Source organism: Homo sapiens, chromosome 6 (assembly GCF_000001405.40).
Source record: "Homo sapiens chromosome 6, GRCh38.p14 Primary Assembly".
NCBI classification, from domain to species: Eukaryota; Metazoa; Chordata; class Mammalia; order Primates; family Hominidae; genus Homo; species Homo sapiens.
The window spans coordinates 38,990,491-39,012,399 of NC_000006.12; the positions used below are offsets into that span (position 1 = coordinate 38,990,491).

At 39.4% G+C, this 21,909-nt stretch overlaps 1 protein-coding gene across 7 annotated transcripts in view; it reads left to right on the forward strand.

Moving 5' to 3' along the window:
- The window catches only part of DNAH8 (dynein axonemal heavy chain 8), a 315,482-nt gene that overhangs the window by 275,180 nt on the left and 18,393 nt on the right, over nucleotides 1-21,909 (forward strand). For 6 of the 7 annotated variants that reach the window (XR_926078.3, NM_001206927.2, XM_011514319.3 and 3 more), the window contains 2 exons: nucleotides 18,324-18,480; nucleotides 21,725-21,877. Coding sequence is in view for 6 of the 7 variants with exons in the window: in NM_001206927.2 (NP_001193856.1) it covers nucleotides 18,324-18,480; nucleotides 21,725-21,877 (310 nt within the window). In the remaining variant the exon portion in view is untranslated. Of the gene's footprint in view, nucleotides 1-350; nucleotides 1,477-18,323; nucleotides 18,481-21,724; nucleotides 21,878-21,909 lie in introns of those variants that run through there. The other variant, XM_017010325.2, reaches the window with a different exon arrangement.

Sequence of the window (21,909 nt, forward strand, 5' to 3'; positions counted from 1 at the left end):
CAGCTCCTCATCTCTTTCTTCAAAAATTCATTAAGAATATAATGCTCATAAATAGAATCTAAAAAGCCAGGTGAGAACAGATGGGAGGGTGAAGAATCGTATTTCTGCCTGGTCCTCTCTTTCATGGCCCCTCTCCCTCACTTGCTCATCTGCATCCTTTTGTCATGCACTGCCTGTGGTGGGTGCAGTGCGGTGAGCACTTGAGTACCCGACACAGATGCACAGCCCCGGGAGGAAAGAGTGGAGGGGCTCAGCTTTGCGTGAGGTCCCTGCTCCACTCATCACCTAGAGAAGAAATGCTCCCCAGTTCCAAGCCCCTTGGCATGAGGTGTCACCCCTTCTCTCTTTAGGATCCCTACCAAACCCAAGCACCTGAACTGGAATCCTTTGGAATGGACCGCATGTCCTCTGCAGCCCCCTGATGAAAAGTCACAAGGTTTACATTCAGGAAAATGGTTTCAGGAAGTGGAAGAAACCAAGACTCCTCTGGCAGATTCTAAGTTGAGAATGCCCTAAGAGTGGGGCATTCCTCTCTCCTAGTCCCTGGCCTACTGTTGTAATTTTAATAATTCTCTGGGTTTGGACATGGACATTTCCCTGGCCTTGCCAGATGTCCCAGGAGTCCCAGTTTGCTGCCAATTTCCTTGTCTTCCCGCCTCTGACCACCCTCCTAGCTCCCTGCATGAGGATGCACTTTTGGCCTCTTTACACCCACCTTGATTCCACCTTCTTCATATCCTCTCATCTCGCCCAGGCTGCTTTTCATCTTCAAAGATGCGGACATGATTGAAAATACCTACAAATGCCAATGCTTCATTCCACCCCCATGATGGAACCACGAAGGTTCGTTAGTGGCAGCTCTTGCTGTTATCTAAGGAGGCTTTCATAAGTTATCTGGGGATGGGAAAGAAGTGAAGAAATAAAAAGGATTCCTCAGGGATTGGATTGACAATCAACTCTTAACGTTTTATGAAAGAGGAGCATAGGAAAGTAGTTTTGCTTTAGCTGAGACTTTAAAAATGTGAGTCAGACCACATCAACCCCTGCTCAGAATCCTCCCAAGGTTCCCGTGACACTCTGAGACAAGGTCAAAGACCGACAGTGACCTACATACAGATGACCTACAAAGTCAAATAGTGCCACTGCCCTCTACCTCCCCACCCTGGCTCTTTCAGTCCTCTCCCACCTTCGTGCCCACTCAGCTCCTGTTACTCAGGCCAGACAGCTTCCTGTTACTCAGACAGGCCAGACAGCACCTGCCACAGGATACTTGCACTCCCTGGAACCTCCCTCCTCCTAGATATCACAGTGGCTCACTTTTACCTCTTCTAGTCTTTGCTTAGATGTAGCCTTTTCAATGATGCCTTCCCTGGCTGTGCTATTTAAAGATTGCAACCCACTCCCCAAACCCTGCCCAAGACCTTGTCCTCCTGACCTGCTCTTCTCTATAGTTTGTATCACCCACTGACATACTCTACACTTTTTTTTTTTTGCCACGGAATTTCGCTCTTGTTGCCCAGGCTGGAGTGCAATGGCACGATCTTGGCTCACCACAATCTCCGCCTCTCAGGTTCAAGCGATTCTCCTGCCTCAGCCTCCCGAGTAGCTGAGATTACAGGCATGCACCACCACGCCTGGCTAATTTTTGTATTTTTTAGTAGAGACAGGGTTTCTCCATATTGGTCAGGCTGGTCTCAAACTCCCTAGCCTCAGGTGATCCGCCCACCTCGGCCTCCCAAAGTGTTGGGATTACAGGTGTGAGCCACCGCACCCAGCCTCATACTTTACACTTTAATTACTGATTTGTTATTGTCCAACAACCACCACTAAACCATAAGTTCCACTACACCTGAAACTTTTGTGTGTGTTTTCACTGCTGCATCCCTTGTGCTATAGCAGTGCCTGGGGCTCAGGAAGTATTTGTTGACTGATCAGTGCTGCTAAATTCTTCTAGAGTGTGAAGGATGTGATCAATGAGGAGATTCCATAGAAAGATCCCACAAGTTCACGTGAGTGGACAGAGAAAGAACTGATAAGTCTTAATGCACTTGCAAATTTGTGACTGAAAATGTTCTCATATGAGGGCTCTGAACTTTAATTCCATCCTTGACAAGAGACTGGGGAGTCACGAGAGCTGGTTCCTGGATAATCCACAGGATCCCAACAAGATGAAACCATTTCACCCTCACCCAGGGTGATGGTGCACCTAGGCCTTGTTCACTGCAGGCTGTTTCACTCACCAGCTCTCAAGAAAGATGAAACAGGGCTAGAAAAGGTCCAGAGAAGTACAACGCAAATGTAAAAGCAATTGGAGACAAAGACAAAGACAAACCATTTTTTCCTTGACTTTTTATTTGGAATGATTACAAACTCTCAGAAAAGTTGCACATACAGTAAACATTCATACGCTCCATCGAGATCCAACAATTGTTCATGTTTTGATCCATTTGCTTTTTCTCCTTCTATATTTATATCTCTGTATGCTTATGTATCTACAGCTATATCTATGTATAATCACATATATTTCTCTGTGTGTGTGTTTGTGTGCCCTCTCAGTGGATAGAGCTAGGAAGCATGTACTTTTAAAAACATCATGAGTTAATACAAATAACTCCAATTCCAGTTGTATACCTCAGGGTTGTTCTTTGTCTTCCCCCATTCCATATTGATATCTCCTTTCTCCCACCGTAAAAACTCTGGTTCCCAGCAACTTCAATATGTGTATTCATTTACTTGCAATTACTATGCCAATACCACTACCAGCAACAAACCTATTAAGTAGAGGTCAAGATTTCTTTGCAGTTCTTTTTGTCCTTAGGATATATTCCACTAGGTATAAAGAGTACTGTGTTCAAAGGTCACTTGGATTAATGATTTTTTTTTCTGTGTGGTTATGCTATCAACTGATATATAGTTATGTTTATTTGTTTCTGTTTGTATTACATTTAAGGGTTTTTTTCCCCCACATATGCTATTGTTTTGAATATGTAAAATATGAACATGGTTCAAAAGTTACAACTTTAAGTTGTTCTTAGAGAAGTCTCAGACCCTTTCAACCCATTTCCCTCTTCTTTTATGGGTAAACAAACACAGTTTCTGGTTTATCTTCTCTGTGTTTCTTTTTGCATGTACATACATATATACATATTGTTATTACCCTTTCTTATACAAAGTTGCCAAACTATATCTATTGTGTTGTGTCTTGCTTTTTTCTCTTAACAATGTATCCTGTAAATCACTTCATATCAGGTCATTATTATCTTCCTCATATTTTTTTTTACAGCTGCATGCTGCTCCATTGTTTATATGGATCATAGTTGTTCAACCATTTGCCTATGTATGGGCATTTAGGTTGCTTCCAATATTTTCCTATCTCAAATAATTCTTCCATTAATAACTTTATGCTTGTGGACTCTCATATTATTAGAGATGTATTTTCAGGGTAAATTGTTATGGGTGGGATTGCTAGATCAAGATTTAGCGAATATTGTCAAATTCCCTTACATAGGGTTATACTGTTTTGTACTTTTACTTGCAGTCTGTGAGTGCCCATTTTTTCAGAATCTCATCAACAGAGCGCTGGTGAGGCATTTGAACCTTCACCAATATGACAGTGAGAAATGTTATCTCAGCATAGTTTTAGTTCACTTCTCTTATTTTGAGTGAAATTGAGAAAATTTTCATATACTTAAGGGCTATTTATATATAGTCTGTCCATTCCTTTCCAATGGAGTTTTTATTCTTTTTATTTAATTTTAGGACTTATTTATATGTTAGGGATAACAACCCTTTGTTTGTGATGTGGATTGCAAATATTTTTCTCAGCTTATTTAGCGTTGCTTGTGATTTTCCCCCATTGATCAGGTAGAAGTGTTATTGTCGTTTCGTTTTATTTTTATGCAGTCAAATTTATGACTACATAAATTCTGTTCTTGCTGTTGTTACATCTGGATTTTTAGTAATAGTAAGAAAGCTTCTTCCCTCATCAGGGTATAAAGGAATCATCTACATTTTTTTTTTTTTTAGTGCTTGTATGGTTTCACGTTTTTACATTTAGTTCTTTTATCCATTAGGAATTTACCTATTAGGTATAAGTATGGATGAAATTCTTTTTCAGAATAGCAATCCAGTTATCCTATCACCAGTGACTTTTTTTTTCTTTTTTTTTTTTTTTTGAGCCGGAGTCATGCTCTGTTGCCCAGGCTGGAGTGCTGTGGCATGATCTCGGCTCACTGCAACCACCTCCTGGGTTCAAGTGATTCTCCTGCCTCAGCCTCCTGAGTAGATGGGATTACAGGTACATGCCACCATGCCTGGCAAATTTTTGTATTTTAGTAGGGAAGGGGTTTCACCATGTTGACCAGGCTGGTCTTGAGCTCTTGACCACACGTGATCCGCCAGCCTTGGCCTCCTGCTTCCTTTAACATAGAATTTCCTTCCATAGGTACTCGGGTCCATTTCTGGGCTTTCTATTCTGTTTTCCTTTCTATTTTGTAGCAGTCTGTTTTAAGTTTAGCTAGTCTCCAGTATGTTTTATTATCTGATAGTTATAGTCTCCCCTCATTGCTCTTTTTTTTTTTTTCTGAGCTTGTCCTAGCTATTGTTGCATGTGTGTTTCTCTATTGTTGTCAGAAATTGGTGTTGAATTTTGTTGAATACCTTTCAACATTTATGGAAAGAATCACATGATTTTCCCCTAAACACCTAAAAAGTTAGTGAATTATATTAATGGATTTCCTAACTCAAATTTTCTACAGATAATCTGAAATTAATACCACTGGGTTCGGAGGTATTATTCTCCTAAGGTAGTGATATACTCTATTAATGGTTCATTGGGGAATTTTGCATTGATATTCATAAATAAGAATGGCCTGGAGTTTTTTGTGGCATCTTTATCAGGTTTAATTACTAATCAATGTTATATTTGCTTTGTAAAAATGTGGAAGTTTTTCTAAGCTCTGGAACAATTTATGTAGTATTGGATGCTTTAAAGTTTGGTAGAATTCTCCTGTGAAACCATCTGGGCTCAGTGCTAGTTCTTTGATATCTTTCGTATTTCTCTGTCACCACTGCAGTCAATATTTTGTCAGTTGTGTTCTCCTAGGAAATTATTTGTTTCATCTAGGTTTTCGTATTTATTTTCACAAAGACATGCAAACTAGTCTTTAATCTGGTCTAATAAGCTGGACTCAGTACAATGTGGTAAAGAATGAAATCACTTCTTCCTTACCCTATACTGAGTCCAACCCATTCAATAAAATTGTTACAGAAGTGTGGACATAACACTAGCTCTGTAGACCTTGGTCTGAAATCTGATGACAACTTGAAGCCACTCTCGTGCCTCTCCTAAAGGAATGTACTAGCCTTCTTAATATAATCTATCGAGGCAGCTCTGTTCAACCACTTCACTATGGTGTTGCCAACACATCCCAGAGAAACCACTGAGAAACAGTGGTTATACTGTTATATGGTGGTTATACTTACTTAATACTAAGAAGGAACTTAGTATTGACACAGATGAACACTTCACCAGAGCCAGAGGCTCCTCTTCACAGGGTTCTCCTGCTGTCCGGCTTAGCAGGTTCTCAGTCCTCAGTGGCAAAATCACACTGTGACAGAGTAACAAAATTTGTTGCAAAATGCAAAAGGCTGCAAAGCATGACTTTAATAGCATCACCCTTCAGTGTATGGTCCAGGTAGCAGTGTGATCTAGTATCTCTCATGCTTTAAAGAGCCTTCCCTTCCCTTCACATGCCTATAAATCTATGGCCTATGTTCTACTCACATTTTAACCTCTTTTATAGTCATGTCCACCTTCCCTCCTGAGTAGAGCTCATCTATGCCAATGGCCTTTAAAACATCAATATGCCACATATATGTTGTCTAGACCTTTCCTCTGTGCTCCACAGTCATTTATACAATTTCTATGTGACATCCACTGGCATGTCTTTCAGACAGCTTGACCTTTAAAAGCCCCAAACTGAATCTCCTCCATCTACTTCTCCTCCATCTAAATGGCTTCCTACAGCAGTTAGAATAAAAGACAAGCTCTCTGCCATGTGACAAGGCTCATCTAGAGCACCCATGATGACTAATCGACACCTCGGGTACCCTGTGGGTAAGTCCAGGTGTGTGAGGATGCAGGCCTAGAATAGGGATGATCATGGGGTGGAGTGAAGCTGCAGGACAGGTCTCAAGGGGGGACTGATAGGACTTAGCGAATGCAGAGCAATGGCTGAGAACCTTCTTCTGTAGCTGTTAATCTGTTTCTTGCTGCAAACTGGTGTGTTAGAGAGGACACGGTGAGCCTTCTGTGTTTTGTCAAGTCTCTCTTCACAGCTTTGTCCAGAAGCCCACATGGTGTTGCTGGCATGCATGCTGTAGGATGCCGTAAGCGAGCTTCTCCCAAAATAGTGTCAGGATCTTGCAACCTTTCACCACACTAGTGAGGTCAGGTAGAAGGCCCTGGACCCCTGCCTAAAATGGGGGAGTATATCCACTAGAGCAACTGGCAGGCCTGTAAGACCTTCGTCCTCCTCTGTTCTCTCTTCATCCTTAACTTCCCATATGGTCTGCCTTGGGGTCTCTCTCACCCACCCCTGATCCCCTTTCCCCAGCATGTCTTAGCCCATTTCTGGTTCCTGCTCAGGTGGTTGGCTCTGTTCTGCAGCTCTGTGTTTGGTAATTTTTTTGGTCTCTGAGTACCTAGGTTTGATTCTTCTTTCCTCTGGCTCTGAAATATCTGGTGGATGGAATCCTGGCAAGTGAGCTTGCCTTCTTCAAGGACTTCTCTACGCCCCTTGCTGTTCCCCCACCGGCCACCAGGAAGCAGTAAGCAATAACAGATGAAGCATCCCAGCTGAAACCCACCTCTGGTCCTCACCCAGCTCCAGCAAGATGTAACTCTCCAAGTTCTGAGTGAAATGAAAGAAGGGGTCAAAGATGCCCTGACATTGCTTGTCTGGGAGCTGGGGTAGTGGAGGAGTTGGGAACAGGAGTATGTTGGAGGAGAAGTTACAGAGTTCTGTTGGGGGCATGTTGAGCTGGGAAAGAACATGGGATATAAATGAATGGGGTGAGAAATATGGACTGGAGCCCAGGTGAAAGATTTGAATGCATGTGTGCAGAGATAACAGCTTCAGCCATGAGAGAAGACTCTCTAAGATATGCTGGCTAAGTCTGTGTGAATGTCCCCAGCCAGAGGAATCATTAATTTATCTGACCATCCATGGTGTTCAACAGCATTCTTGCTTCTTTTTGTTTGTTTGTTGTTTTTTGTTTTGTTTTGAGATAGTCTTACCCTGTTGCCCAAGCTGGAGTGCAGTGGTGCGATCTCAGCTCACTGCAACCTCCGCCTCCCAGGCTCAAGCGGTTCTCATGTCTCAGCCTCCCGAATAGCTGGAACTACAGGCATGTGCCACCAGGCCCGGCTAATATTTGTATTTTTAGTAGAGACAGGGTTTCACCATGTTGGCCAGGCTGGTCTCGAACTCCTGACCTCAAGTGATCCACCCACCTTGGCTTTCCAAAATGCTGGGATTATAGGCATGAGCCACGGTGCCCAGCCATCACTTGATGATAGGCTATAATTGGGCCATGATGGAGAACTCGATGCCCCCTGTTTATTGGAATCTTCACTCTGAAGTTAGCATCCATAAATTTGAGAGAAGAGGGAGATTTGGGCAGGGCGAATCACAAGTCTCTCTCCTCAGTCCTTGCATAAGAATGCAGAATCTCTGAAGTGGAGGGGGAAATCAAGGTGAATAAATGCTTTAAAATAAGTAAAATCTCTCTCAAGAGTTTAGATAGCATAGTGATAAGAACCATGAAAATACACAGTTTATTCACATTTTATTATGTAGATTTATAAGGTACCAAAGACTCTGCAAATTCAACTCTTTCAATGTCAAAAATGGTTGCTTATTTTCACTCTTTTTCTCATCAGTGGTTATGCATGTTTCTTTACTTTCTGAAATTTATCAAATGCCTTATTACAACCTTTATATTCATTTCAATGCAATACAAATTGAAATGTATTCCCTTGAGTATTTGAGGACACTTTTGAGATTTAGATTTTTTGAAAAATTTATGCTCATTGATATTTCATGTGCAAAGACGTATGTAAATCTAGACTGATTTGGATATTATGGTGCACTAATATCTCATTAGGTAGTTGTTTATTTCATAGACAGCTCTGTTTTTCAGTTGTTTTGCATTTCTATTATCCATGACCCTGACTTCCCAGAACCACCAAGCTACAAGGGCAATCTGAGCTTCTTCCCATATTTACTCTAAAGAGAAATTTTCTTCAAGAAATAACTTAGAACCAACCCTCAAGGAATATTATAGCTCTTGTTCTTCATCTCAGAGCATTTATGAGGACTGTTCTCCTGAAAGCCCTTGGGCTTTTGTGGCATATAGAGAGATTTGCAATTCTCTGTTATAGCTAGCTAACTAGGCTTCTGCCTTTCATATCTTTGCAAACATAAAATCACATTGTGGAAAAAGAAATGTGAGTTGTTCAGCCCTGGAATACCAGGGAATGACATTCTGTGCATAGTAAAATGTGTGTTGGGGAGAGCTTGGCTAGCTCTTATTCACAGTGGATCAGCTTTTCAAGGCTTCTTCCCAACATCTATGTTTTGAGGCCCGTGTTCAGATCATCTCATAAAAAATTAAATCACTCATCATGAAAGTGATTTATTAGGTGGGATCTAGCAGCAGCAGCATCTCCATCAGCCTCTCCTTGGAGCACCAGTGAACTTGGCCAGAGTCAGCAGAGAGCAAAATGGTCATCTCTGCAATGGTGTGCACTGTTGGGACCTAGCCCCTGGTGCTGAGCACACTTCCACGGAGGGCTCAAGCTGAAGGTGACTGAGAGAGCACCTGAGAATTTGGATATGGGGGCTGTTTTTTTTTTTTTGTAGCTAGAACAGGTAGGAATCATGAACTCTGCTTTTCTTAGCATGAATGGAAATTTACTGTGGTTTTCTTGTCTTTAATCATTAAAGATCTGCATTGATAAAATAATAAGAAGAATAGTTTTACTTCACTCTCAAATTATATCTTTCTGATTCTCCTGTGTTTTGAGGACTATTTATATATGGCACAAAAGGCATTTGCAACCCATTCCTGAATTTTGAAGTAGGGCATGATCACAGTTTTTAAAAGTCATATAAAGTATAAGAAAAATACAAGTAACTCTGAGAGGGGGAATCCTGTGAAAATATCCTATGAAAACAAATGAACTTATCAATTGTCAAAGACTCAAGAAGAGATAGATAGAAAGATAGATATTTCTAATATCTATAGATGTATTTATTATTATATTGTATTGTCATATTATATAATAGATATATAATAATTAGAAATGAATGTTCCTAATTCATTATTAGAAATGAATACAAAAGTTGTAATAAGGCATTTATACACACACACACACAAACACACACACACACATTCATTGAAAGGTGCCAGGAAATAAAAAAACAATAATAACAATATACTATGTTTTTACCATAAGAAGGAATAAGTAAATTTTCATGTCCTTTAAATATTGAAGAATTGCTGTCCTTTGTATTTGAGGTTTAATAAAATGCAAGCCAATTGGCCTCAATTCAACAAACAAACATTTGTTGAGAACTTACTGTCTGGCTAACCTGGGGATACAAAGATGAGTAAGATGCAGTCCGTGCTCTTGGAGCGCATCATCTGTTGGGGAAGATGATGAATGGCAAATGCTGATGAGGTACAATATGGTAAACTCTAAAATCAGGGTATGTATACATTGCTATGATAACACAGGTGGAGGAGCAATCAATTCCAATTTAGGGATCAAAGAAAGCTAGTGAGACAGGCTCCATTTAAGTTGTGCCTTAAAGCAGGGGTCCACTACCCCTGGGCCACAAGCCAATACCAGTCCGTGGCCTGTTAAAACTGGGCCACACAGCAGGAGGTGAGCAGCAGGTGAGGGAGCACTACCGCCTGAGCTCTGCTTCCCGTCAGATCAGTGGCGGCATTAGATTCTCATAGGAGCGAGAACCCTACCGTGAACTGCGCATGCCAGGGACCTAGGTTACACACTCCTTATGAGAATTTAATGCCTGATGATCTGTCACTGTCTTCCATCACCCCCAGATGGGACCGTCTAGTTTCAGGAAAACAAGCTCAGGGCTCCCACAGATTTTACATGATGGTGAGTTGTATAATTACTTCATTATATATTACAATGTAATAATAGTGGAAATAAAGTGCCCAATAAAAGTAATGTGTTTGAATCATCCCGAAACTTTTCCGCCGCCTCCCCTCCAGTCTATGGAAAAATGTCTTCCACAAAACCAGTCCCTGGTGCCAAAAAGGTTGGGAACCGCTGTCTTAAAGGATGTGCAGGAGTTTCTCAGATTGGAGATGAGGTGGGAAGGAAGTGACTGCAGGACTGGGGTCAAGGACAGAGTACAAAGAAGAGGAACATAATGAGCGGTAAGGACCAAGAACTTAGACTGGGATGCACACACCAAGGAACAATCCAAGGAAGGGAATGCAAACATGAATGTGTGTGGGGAGTTCTGGGAACCAGGTCCAGTATGCCTAAAGCATGAGGGAGGGGGGTGCTTAAAGAGCGGAGTGGCCGATGCAGAGTGTGGCTTTTGAAGGTTTTGCCAAAAGAGTTTGGGGCAATATTTTAAATTGGAATACGGTTATTTAATCATTTATTTAAATCTACTTAACCTACTCTACCTTCTACATGGCCATTTCTGCTTGCATGAGTTGATGGGAATTAGCATTTTGCATACAGAGATTTAAGCCTTTTCCTGCCATCACATAATTCAGGCTGAAGTTGGAATGAAGATAAACAAGCATGTCATCATGTACAGAATGACAAGTACAACAATAAAAGCAAGCACTGAGAGCTATGCGCACACATAGGGAGAAAGTCTAGGGAAGGCTGTCTAGAGGTGAAGACATCTAAGCTGAGCTTAATATTAATAGCTAGTTAGGAATGAGCTATAATCGATGAAAAAATGAGGGCAGAGCATTCCAGGCTGTGGAGGTAACTTGGGAACAGTCAAAGAAATATGAGGGGAGTCATGGAATGCTTGATGAGCTTCAGGTAACTCACAGCACAGGGTAGAGTGTGGGAAGAAGAAAGAAGGAAGCAAGAGCAGAAGCTGGAGATAGAAAAAGGCTTAGTGATGAAAAAGGTTTGTATGCCATGTGAAAGACTTCAGATTTTATCCTGAAGGTTATGGGGAGTCTTCGAATACATTTAATAATCACTTTTCAAATGTCAAAACTTACCTTGGAACAGTGGTTGGAGGCAGGAGGATGTGTTAGGAGGTGATGGCAGTGCCGCACACAGAGGATGATCAGGAAGTTAGGGGGCAGAACTGAAGGCAGTGGGGATGACGGTGGGTCACGGGGAGGGGATGCTGGAAATGATTTGGAACTAGAGCTTGGAAACTAAGAAGGTCTGGGGAGCCACAGCAAGGAGGAAGCCATCTCTGAGGGTTCTCAGTTGGGCAACTGGGCAGACATTGATGTCACTAAAGTAGATGGGGCAAGGAGCAGTCCAGGAGAGGGATAAGGGAGAACTAAAATAATAAGGTTTTGGATTTGTTTGGTACAGGAAACAAAGAGCTCTGGGGCTCCAGGGAAATGTGGATGCACAGAGTTCATGATAAAGTCAGAGGTTCAATGTTACCCAGGCTTACCTGGTGTTTCGTGGCTCTCTGTAAGATGTCAGCCATGGTGACACCCCTCTGTCTTCCCTAACATAGCAGTTCATCCACATATTCTATCTGTAGTGTACCTAATGCTAGAGAGAGCTCATGGAGTAATATGAATCACATACAAATTTAAATTTCTGAAAATGTATATAGTAACATGTGGATCCTTGACTTTTGTTGACTTCATTTTGTTGTCTCATCAGCTATTTTCATTGAACTTTCTTCTCAGACTTATTTGTATTTTTCTTATACGGTACTTTATATGACTTTTTAAAACTGGGGTTGTGCCATATTTCAAAATGTCGGAATGGGTCTCAAATGCCTTTTGTGTCATTTTACTAGAATATTGTGTTCTCTGTTCATGTATTCAACTGCATGCATGTTTCAACTTTTAAGATAAGTGTCTTTTGGGATATTCCAAATCCCCAACATCTGAATAGAGGTTGCTCACAGAAATAGTAAAAGAATTTTAAGTTATATCTAAAATATACTATACAGTCAATTTTTGTTCATTAAAAATCAGGTTTTACTTCATTGATCCTTACTGGGAAAGTCATGTATTTAAAGGTAATATGAAGCTAATATTCCAACTCTGGATGGAGTTACAAACACTTGCTAGATCTGATACTAGGACCCTCGTATCACTGTATCTGACTGAAAGTTCTGTATGTGAAGCATGACACCTTATGCATTTATCATGGCATGACTTTTGGAAAGGATGCAGATAGTTCGGGTATGCATGTTTGGGTCCAGATGTGGCATTCTAGCTGCTAATCAAATAAAAATGCTGAAGACAGAGCATCTCCTCCATTCTTCAGCTTTATTCCTAAATGAATCCAAAGGCTGCTATATAGGATTTCCTCTACTCCCCACCACACGCAGCTTTTTCATAAGCAAAGAAGCCTGGTTAACTTTCCCAGCAGCCTCTTAGGATTCTGCCAATTCGTGTGGCAAATTTCACAAAAGGCTGTGGAACTGACACCAGGGAAGGAGGAGAGAAAAGGATGCAATTCTCTCTTTCCATACACTGCAGAGAAAAGGCAGAAGGGGGCGCTTTCTGGTGGGGCATAAAGAGTAAGGGTTTGTAAGATGCATCTCAGTGAACCTGAAATATTTGTCCCTGATTTATCTCTGTTAACTTCTTGACAACTGTGATGGGCTTTGCCTTATGGGGATTTATTTTTCTCTGTTTTTCAAACTGAAAATGATTTTTAATATTCTTTATTCTAAAAGTCCTACATTCTTATTGAGAAGCATAAACAATAGAGAAAAATAAACAGCAAAAAGAAACTAATAATTACATAAAAAGCTCATCATACAAAAATCCTACTGCAAAAATACCCTTCTAGTTTTTTTCTGTGTCTATAAGCACAATATTAACAACAAAATTAGATCATACCATAACTGGGTTTGATGCCATGTTATTTTATTCTATAATCCCCCAATGACACCTCGCATGATCAATGAATATACAGCTACATCAGCATTTTTATTGGCTATATAGATTTTTATAAAGCTTTACTAGGATTTATTATTACAAATACTGTTATAAAGTCATATAGATTCATCTTTGTACACTTGTCTGATTATTGCTTCTAAAACAGCCTTATTAAACATTGAATAAATACAAAAGAATATATATACTGTATATAAAATGTAAAGGACAAATATACAATGTTGCTTTTTTACGCCACTCTTTCTATGTTTTGCTTCTTTTCTTCTTCTTCCTTTTTGGCTTTTGCTAAATAAGACTTTTCCCATTTCATTTTTTTTCTCTTCTCTAGTTTGGAAATTATGTACTCTGTTTCTGTTCTTTTACCAGTTACCCTAGAAATTTTAACGTCAGTTCTTATTTTGGTCTAAAATTAATATATTTATGCTAGGCATGGTGGTGTGTACCTGTAGTCCCAGCTCCTTGGGAAGCTGAAGTAGGAGAATTGCTTGAGCCCAAGAGTGTTAAGTCCAGCCTGGGCAACAGAGCGAGAACCTGTCTCTTTAAAATAAATAAATAATAAATAAAATGAACATATTTACTTTCCTTTCTCTTAGATAACTTTAGCTACAGTCACTCTCCTCCTGACATTTCAGTATTTTAATTTTATCTTTTATAATCCCACAATTAGACATACAATGATTGTTTTATACTATAATGCTTATTTAGACTTACCTATGCATTGGCCCATTCTTTTCTATACTTCAAACCTTCCAACAGAATAACCTCCCTCCTTTCTAAAGTATACTCCACCATGAGGGGGACATTCTTTTATGGATGATAAACTCTTCTATTTTTGTATGAAAATGCCTTATTTTGCCTTCCTTTTTTGAAAAACAGCTTTTATGAGATGTAATCTGCATATCTTAAATTATCTCATTTCAAGTGGACAATAAATGATTTCTAGTAAGTTTACCACTACAATATAACGTTATAAGATTTCCATCACTCTAAAAAGAAATGTTGGGCCCATTTGTGCCAGGCTGTCATCCCCAGCCTCAGGCAATTGCTAATCTACTTTCTGTTTCTGTAAATTTACCTTTTCTGGACATTTTGCATAAGCAGAATTATACATTATGTGATCTTTTATGTCTGGATTCTTTCACTTAACATAATGTTTTTGAAGTTCATCCATGTTGTAGCGTATATTAATACTTCCTTGGTTTTTATTGCCAAATAGTATTCCAGTGCCACATTTTGTTTATGCATTTACCAGCTGATGAATAGTTGGGCATGTTCTACTTTGGGGCTGTTAAGAACACTGCTATGAACATTCATGTGCAAGTCTTTGTGTGGACATGTCTTTTCATTTCTCTTGTGTAGATAACTAGGAATGTTATGTAGTTATTGGGTCATTGGGTCATAATCTATTCTTAACATCTTAAGAAACTGCCAAACTGCTTTCCAAAGTGACTGCATCAGGCCGGGAGCAGCAGCTCATGCCTGTAATCCCAGCACTTTGGGAGGCCAAGGTGGGTGAATTGCCTGAGCTCAGGAGTTCAAGACCAGCCTTGCCAAAATGGTGAAACCCCCTCTCTACTAAAGTACAAAAAAATTAGCTGGGTGTGGTAGTGCACGCCTATGGTCTCTGCTACTCAGGAGGCTGAGGCACAAGAATTGCTTGAACCCAGGAGATGGAGGTTGCAGCGAGCACCACTGTACTCCAGCCTGGGCGACAGAGTAAGACTCTGTCTCAAAAACAAAACAAAACAAAACAAAGTGACTGCACCATTTTACAATCCCCTCTAGCAATTACGAAGGTTCAGGTTTCTCCACATCCTTGCCAATATTTGTTATTATGTGTCTTGTGATCATAACCATTCTTTGTAAATGTGAAGTGGTAGTATTACATTGTCGTTTTAATTTGCTTTTCCTAATAAATAATGAAACTGAACATATTTTCATGTGCTTATTGACCCATCTGTATTTCTTCTTTGATGAAACGTTTATTCAAATATTTTTTCTTGCCTTCATTCTTGAAAGAGAGTTTTGTTTGGCACACAATTATAGGTATATAGTTATTTTATCCTAGCAATTAGAAGACACTTTTCCATTTTCTTCTGGATTTCATTGCTGCTGTTGAGGAATTGACTGCCAGTGTAATTGTTATTTCTTTCTAGATAATCTGCTCTTTCTCTCTGGCTCCTTTTAAGATGTTCATTTTGTTTTTGGTTTTCTACGGTTTTACTGTGATGTATCTACATGTAGAGTCCAAGGGCGGGAGGGATTTGGCTTGCCATTACTGGCTTTGCAAATATAGAAAGTGGGCCACAAGCCAAGAAGTGCAGGTGGCCTCTAGTAGCTGAGAAGGACCTTCAGCTGACAGCCAGCAAGAAATTGGGTACCTCAGTCCTGCAATCTCGAGGAAGTTAATTCTGCCAACAACCCAAATAAGCAAGGAAATGGATCCTCTCCTACATCCTATGGAAAGGAACCCAGCCTTGCTGATGTGTTGATTTTAGCCCAGTGAGACCTGTGTCATATTTAGCACCTACAGAACTGTAAAATAATAAATATGTCTTGTTTTAAGCTGCTGACTTTGTGGCAATTTGTTATAGCAGCAATAAATAGTATAGGTTTTAAGTTTTAGTTATGTTTTATTTCTAGAACTTCTTTTTAACTCTTTTTCAAATATGCTATTCATGTTTATAGTTTCCTCTTTAATACTTGTATTTTCAGTCTCCTTTTAAAACTCTTCAATATTGCAAATACAGTATTTTGTAGTGTGCATCTGAAAAGTCACTTAAGATCTCCACAGGTCTGATTCTGATTTCTGTTGTTTCTACTGGCTCTTTCTCACAGTTCCTTGTTTCCTTACAACTTTTTAAACTTTTGACTTTGAGCTTATGTCTATTGGAAATTGACTGTTGGATTATTTGAGACCTGAGTCAAAGGTATATTGTTCCAGGAAAGAGTTGTGTTTGCTTCCATCAGGTGCCACCTAGGACTTCCTAGGACCACCTTAAAATAAATTCTTGGCTTGAGCTTTTCCAAATTGCACAGGTAATATGAGTAAATGTTAACTAATGTTACAAACATGGTGAATTCAGAATTTTCAGGAAAGATTTTTCCCCCACTTAGTGCTAAGCTAGGTAGAACAAGTTACCTATCATCTTCTTCTGACAGGTGGAGGTTACTTTCTAGTTTACCCTTATACTGAGGTTGTAGCTGTGTGGGGTCCCAGATTTATGTAGGAATTTCCTATTATGCTTTCCACCTCAGGTATGAGGGCTTCTCTCCTGTCTCATTGCACTATCCAAACAGAAACTCAAAAACACCAGTTAGTTGATGCCCCCAGGGTAAAATCTGGCTTTATCTCTCTGGATTCCAGCATTCACTTTATTTCCAGCATTCATTTTATTTGACCCTGAGGATTTTTTATTGTATTGCCAGTTCAGTGATGTTTTTAAAAGGATGTTTTTCATATCTTCTCCAGAAGTTTTAGTTGTTTCAGAAGGGTGGTTCACAGTAACATTTGCACCATACCGTCAGAAATGTAAATGTCAAATGTCTCTTTCTTTTTAAGGATTAATTCTTAGGTGTAGAATTGCTATATTAAAAGGTATGCAAGTATAATATTTAGATGTATATATTTCCATATTACAATGGCTTGTTTTCTGTTCAAGAAAATAAAACAGAAAAACAAGCCACTAATCTCAAGCATTTGCTGAATCCCTTTTAGATTTGCCTCTCACATCTACAAAAGGAAATATGAATGTGGTTAACATCTGGACAAGAGACAAAATTAGCAAACAAAACAATAATCCTCCAAAATAAAATTATGTGAAGTGTATAGATGGTAAATTAGGAGTTCAGAAAAGGCTGAAAAATTTAAATCTGACCATGTCACACCTGGCTAGGGAAATCTTCAGTGGCTGCCCATTGCCTTTAGGGTGGTGTTCAGAATCCTACAAGTTCCCATATAACCCTGCATGGTCTGGCTCCTGCCTCTTCTCTGTCCTTGTCGCTCCTCCTAGCTCACTAGCTCCAAGCTCACTGGCCTTATCTGTGTTCCTCAAATGCACTGAAACCCTTTTCACCCCAACCCTTACTTCTTATCTGAATGTCCTTTTCTGCCTCCCACCACCCCACCCCACTGCGTGGCTGACCTGTTCATCCTTCTGGTCTCAGCTTACATGTGACTTTTTAACTTTTACTAATCTTCTAGTGTAAATTACCTCTGGCACACAAACACATACACACACACAGGCACATACAGCGCCCCACCCCCCACCCACCCACACACACACACACATTTCTACTCAAATGTCCAGGTAACTGGTCAACCCAGCATCTCAGGGACAGAGACTAAATTCATGCATCTCAGAGTGTCTGGTCGACCTGAAAGAAAGCTAGAGAGTGGGAATGAGAGAATCAAACCTCTCTGAAAGCATCCTGTTCTTTCCCTCCACAGCACTTGTTAGAATGGGATTATCTAATATCTATCTCCTCCACTAGAGAACAGAACTATGTCCTATTCCCTGCCATATTCTAGAACTTAGCTCAGTGCCTGGTACATGGTAAATCTTTATTGAATAAATGGATTTAAAGATGCATGGCTGCATTTGAACAGGTGGAGCCGATGGGCGTCAATAGATTTCCCTGGAAATCATAAAACTAGTGGAAAAATGAGAAAACCAAGCAGAAAAGACGAAAATATTTTAATAGGTTATAACTCAGTGAGGAAATATGAATGTTCCTCTTTGAGCCAACAAGCTGTCCTATAATGATAGACTCTTATGACCAGTCTATAGCAGGGGAGAGTGAAAGGAGGTGTGCCCGCTGTTCAGCATGAGGTGGTCAGGTTAGCTACAACCAAGATGGTGAAGAAGCGATTTGGATTTCCAAGGGTGTTTTTGGGTCTCTTTCCTTGAAGATGGAGAGTGTTTCATTTCAGTGATGTTCTTGATGTCCTATTAGGAGGCAGTAGAATGGATCTCTAGTTTCTTTCATTCCTCTAGGTTGATGGTAGTTAACTTTTCTTCTTTTTTTTTTTTTTGTAGCTTGCTTTGATTTAAGTGATTCTATCAGTTCATTTTAACACTTGACACTTATCTCTTACATGTTTCCCTGTAACATTCTGAACAGCTCACTCTTTTTACTAGGTATCAGAGTAACACTGCTTCTGCTGTTCTTGAAACAATTACCAACATTCAACCCAAAGAGAGTGGAGGTGGTGTGGGAGAGACCCGGGAGGCTATTGTTTATAGATTATCTGAAGATATGCTGAGTAAACTCCCTCCTGATTACATTCCTCATGAGGTAAGTCTTGCTGGTTTCCCACTGGCATACAGGGCTATTTGTATATTTAAACAGTAAGTTTGATTACCTTGAAAAGCAAGAAATCTACCTGTTGGTGACTATGTGGCAGATTACCTGTGTGAAAAATTTTGACTATATTACTAAACTCTGCATCTCTCATTGTTCACATAGTTCTCTCTTCAAAACTTAAAAATATCAGAAGAAAACATTTTCCATGATGCTTTTCTGTTGCATTCTTTTAAAAATTCCTTCACAAGTTAATTCCTCCTCAATCAAAGTTTCCACGGTGACCCATTTATATATCAATTTCTATGATACCTTAAGCTGTGCTAAAAAAAAAAAAAACTCAAAAATCTTTAAGGCCAAAAAGCAATGGTGTTGGTCATTTGGTATTCTATAAGACGTTCCAAGTGTTTTAACTGTAGGTAGATGATCCACCCATCTATTCCATTGATTTTTAATCACTTCTGAAACTCATTGAATAGGGTAGAACAATTAGTGGAGATATTATGAATATAAGCACCCTGTTACCAATCTGAAGTCTTCTAAGAACCACACTTATTCATTGATTAGAATGGGGTGGCATGGGACAGTAGCTGTGTTTTTGAGCACTCATTACAAGCCAGACACTGTCCGAAGTGCTTCATACACATTATGACACTCAGTGCTCAGGACAGCACCAGCAGAAATCAAGCTAAGTGGCAGAGCAAGAATTTGAATACAAAGTGATCTGACTCTAGAACCTGCAGTCTTAACTAGTTTTAGCATGCAATGAGTGTCCCAACAATAAAAAATGTTTTATTGCCTCTTAAAATAATTATTGTTTCCATTGTGTAGATAGGTACCAAGACCTTTGGTTAAGATATTGAAATCAATAGCTTCATGTAGAGATAGTTATAGTAAGGGGAGAAAATATTTTTAAATGGATAAATATTGTAAGTATACACTTTCAATAGTTTTATTGGTGTGATCTTCAAAAAACAAGGCAGCATACTTGCCTTCAAAGATTTTTAATACTGGCATGTGAAAGTGAGATAAAACTTACTCTAAAAGATTACACCACAGGACTGCTATTGCCAGGGGAAAGGTTCAAGACCTTGTGATAATTCGAGCTGTCCAGTCTTAGCTGGGGCCACTTCACCAACAAGACCTTTGTTCTGGTGATTATTCCAGCAGAAACAGCATCAGGGGTGTAACTAAATGGATTCCTATATGGGAAAGAGTTTGTACTAAGAGACATCTAAAACTTGTCCCTGTTCCAAGATCACTTACTTTTTAGTGTCTTATTTTATAGAAGAGATCTTTCTTGAACAGGTGGCTGTAAAGTGAATTTTGTAAATCAAAATATAATTATACCATTGAGTTCTGTAGTAAAAATGAAGCTACATTATTGTAGAGAATACTACCTGGTCCCAGAAACATAATGAAAATGCTATATAAGGCTACAGCAAGTCTTAAATTTTATTAATAAAAAGACAATTTTAGGCTGGAACAATAATTATACTCAAAATCAGGACTAGAATTACATTTTCTAGGGTTTAAGGTTTTTCTAAGCATGTCTCTATCTCAAGTAAAGTTTCCCTTTTAAAACCCTAAGCAGGACAAGGTGATTTGTTTGAAACTGTTAATATACTAGAGATACCTGGGCTATTGATTTGATACTGTAGTCAATACCTGAGCTTTATTTTCCACTCATGGGGTTGCAAAAGTATTTCTATAATTTCCCTTTTCCTTAAGAGTGAATTTCCACTCTTGAGATGGATTGATTTAAAGGGAATTATATATAGATATAATTTATATATATATATATACACACACACGCACGTGTACGCACACACACACACACACACGTATGTATGTATGTATGTATGTATGTATGTATGTATGTATGTATAGCATATACATATGCTGTTCAGCCACTGGAGGTTGAAGGACTTGGGATGGAGATGAGAATGAGGCACTGGAGGCTGCAAAAATGTAGGCTCTAGAACCAAGAATTCTGAAGAGTAGCTGAAGGTTGCTACGTCGGACTGCGTTAGGGACCTCCACTGGCATGCTTGACTGATTTTAATATAGTTTGCTCCACCCGCATAGGTAGTCCTATTCAGGCTGCCTATTTTATATCTGTGCTCAGTGTTATATCTCCTTCCCTTTTTGTGCTTTCCGTCTTCCTCTTTCACTCACTAGAAACAACCCAATTGCAGTAAACAGAGGTGTCCCTTGCTGAAAGGAAACTTCTGCACCATACTAGAGGCCTGTCCTATAAAAGGAGGAGAATGGTTCAGATGACTCTGAAGCCCACCCATCTCTAACATTCCAGGCTTTATGAGGGGGCAGTGGGCATCTCTGGCAGAGAATCCTGCAGTTCCTGGCCTCCTGTGATCCTTTGGATTGATACCTCACTTTGAGTTCTCTCCCACTCCATGTGTCCCTTCCTTGTTCCTTTGATTCTGGCATCTCTTTGATTGTGGCCAGCAGAAAGTTCAAATCCCTTTATGAGTTCCTGCCAGTATTTGTAGTCAATCTTTTGTTGGGCATATGTCACCAAATTGAAATGTGTATATTGCATTGGCTTGTTTTCCAATAATTGTCATATTTTATTGTTCCCACAACCAGAGGCTTTTGTATTGATCTCTTCAAAATAGTCAATAAGTGATACATCAAAAGGAACAAATGACAGATATTTAACTGGCTGTCCCACAAAATCAAATATTTTCATTGATTGGATTAGGAAAGGCTCTCTTTAGCTGTCATAGCTAAGGCAACAATGATCTTTGGAAACTATAGCTAATCATATTTGTTGGTAACTGCTCTGTAAAGATTTTTGCTGTATTAACTTTCTATGACATTTCTAATAACTCTGCAAACATAATGAAGAAAAAAATTCCACTGTACCCCTATGAAGGTTAGATTGCAAAAAGAATATCTAACTGACACCCAGTACTTAATCATGTGAAAGGAGAAAAAGGTACAATTTTATTTCAGCTCTTTAAGGTACATTTCCAATTATTAGCTAAGTACAATCAGTAAGAAATAAAAATCATTTTAGTTGAACAGTAGTTTTGGAAACGCAGGAAATGGAAAGTTTAATGGCAAGTTTGGTTCTGCAAGACATATTTTAGAATTCATTTGGGCTGGTAGAGATACATCTAGAGGAAGAAAAAGAATTGAGAAAGAAGAGGTTATTGGAAGAGAAATGTCAGATGAGAAAATCTCCTTTATTGCATTGTTTACTTTGTTTTAGGTGAAATCTCGTTTGATAAAGATGGGCCATCTTAATTCAATGAACATATTTCTTAGACAAGAAATTGACAGAATGCAAAGAGTCATTTCAATACTCCGCAGTAGCCTGAGTGATCTAAAATTGGCCATTGAAGGAACAATCATTATGAGTGAGGTGAGCTGTTATTACATCAGTAGGCATTTCCT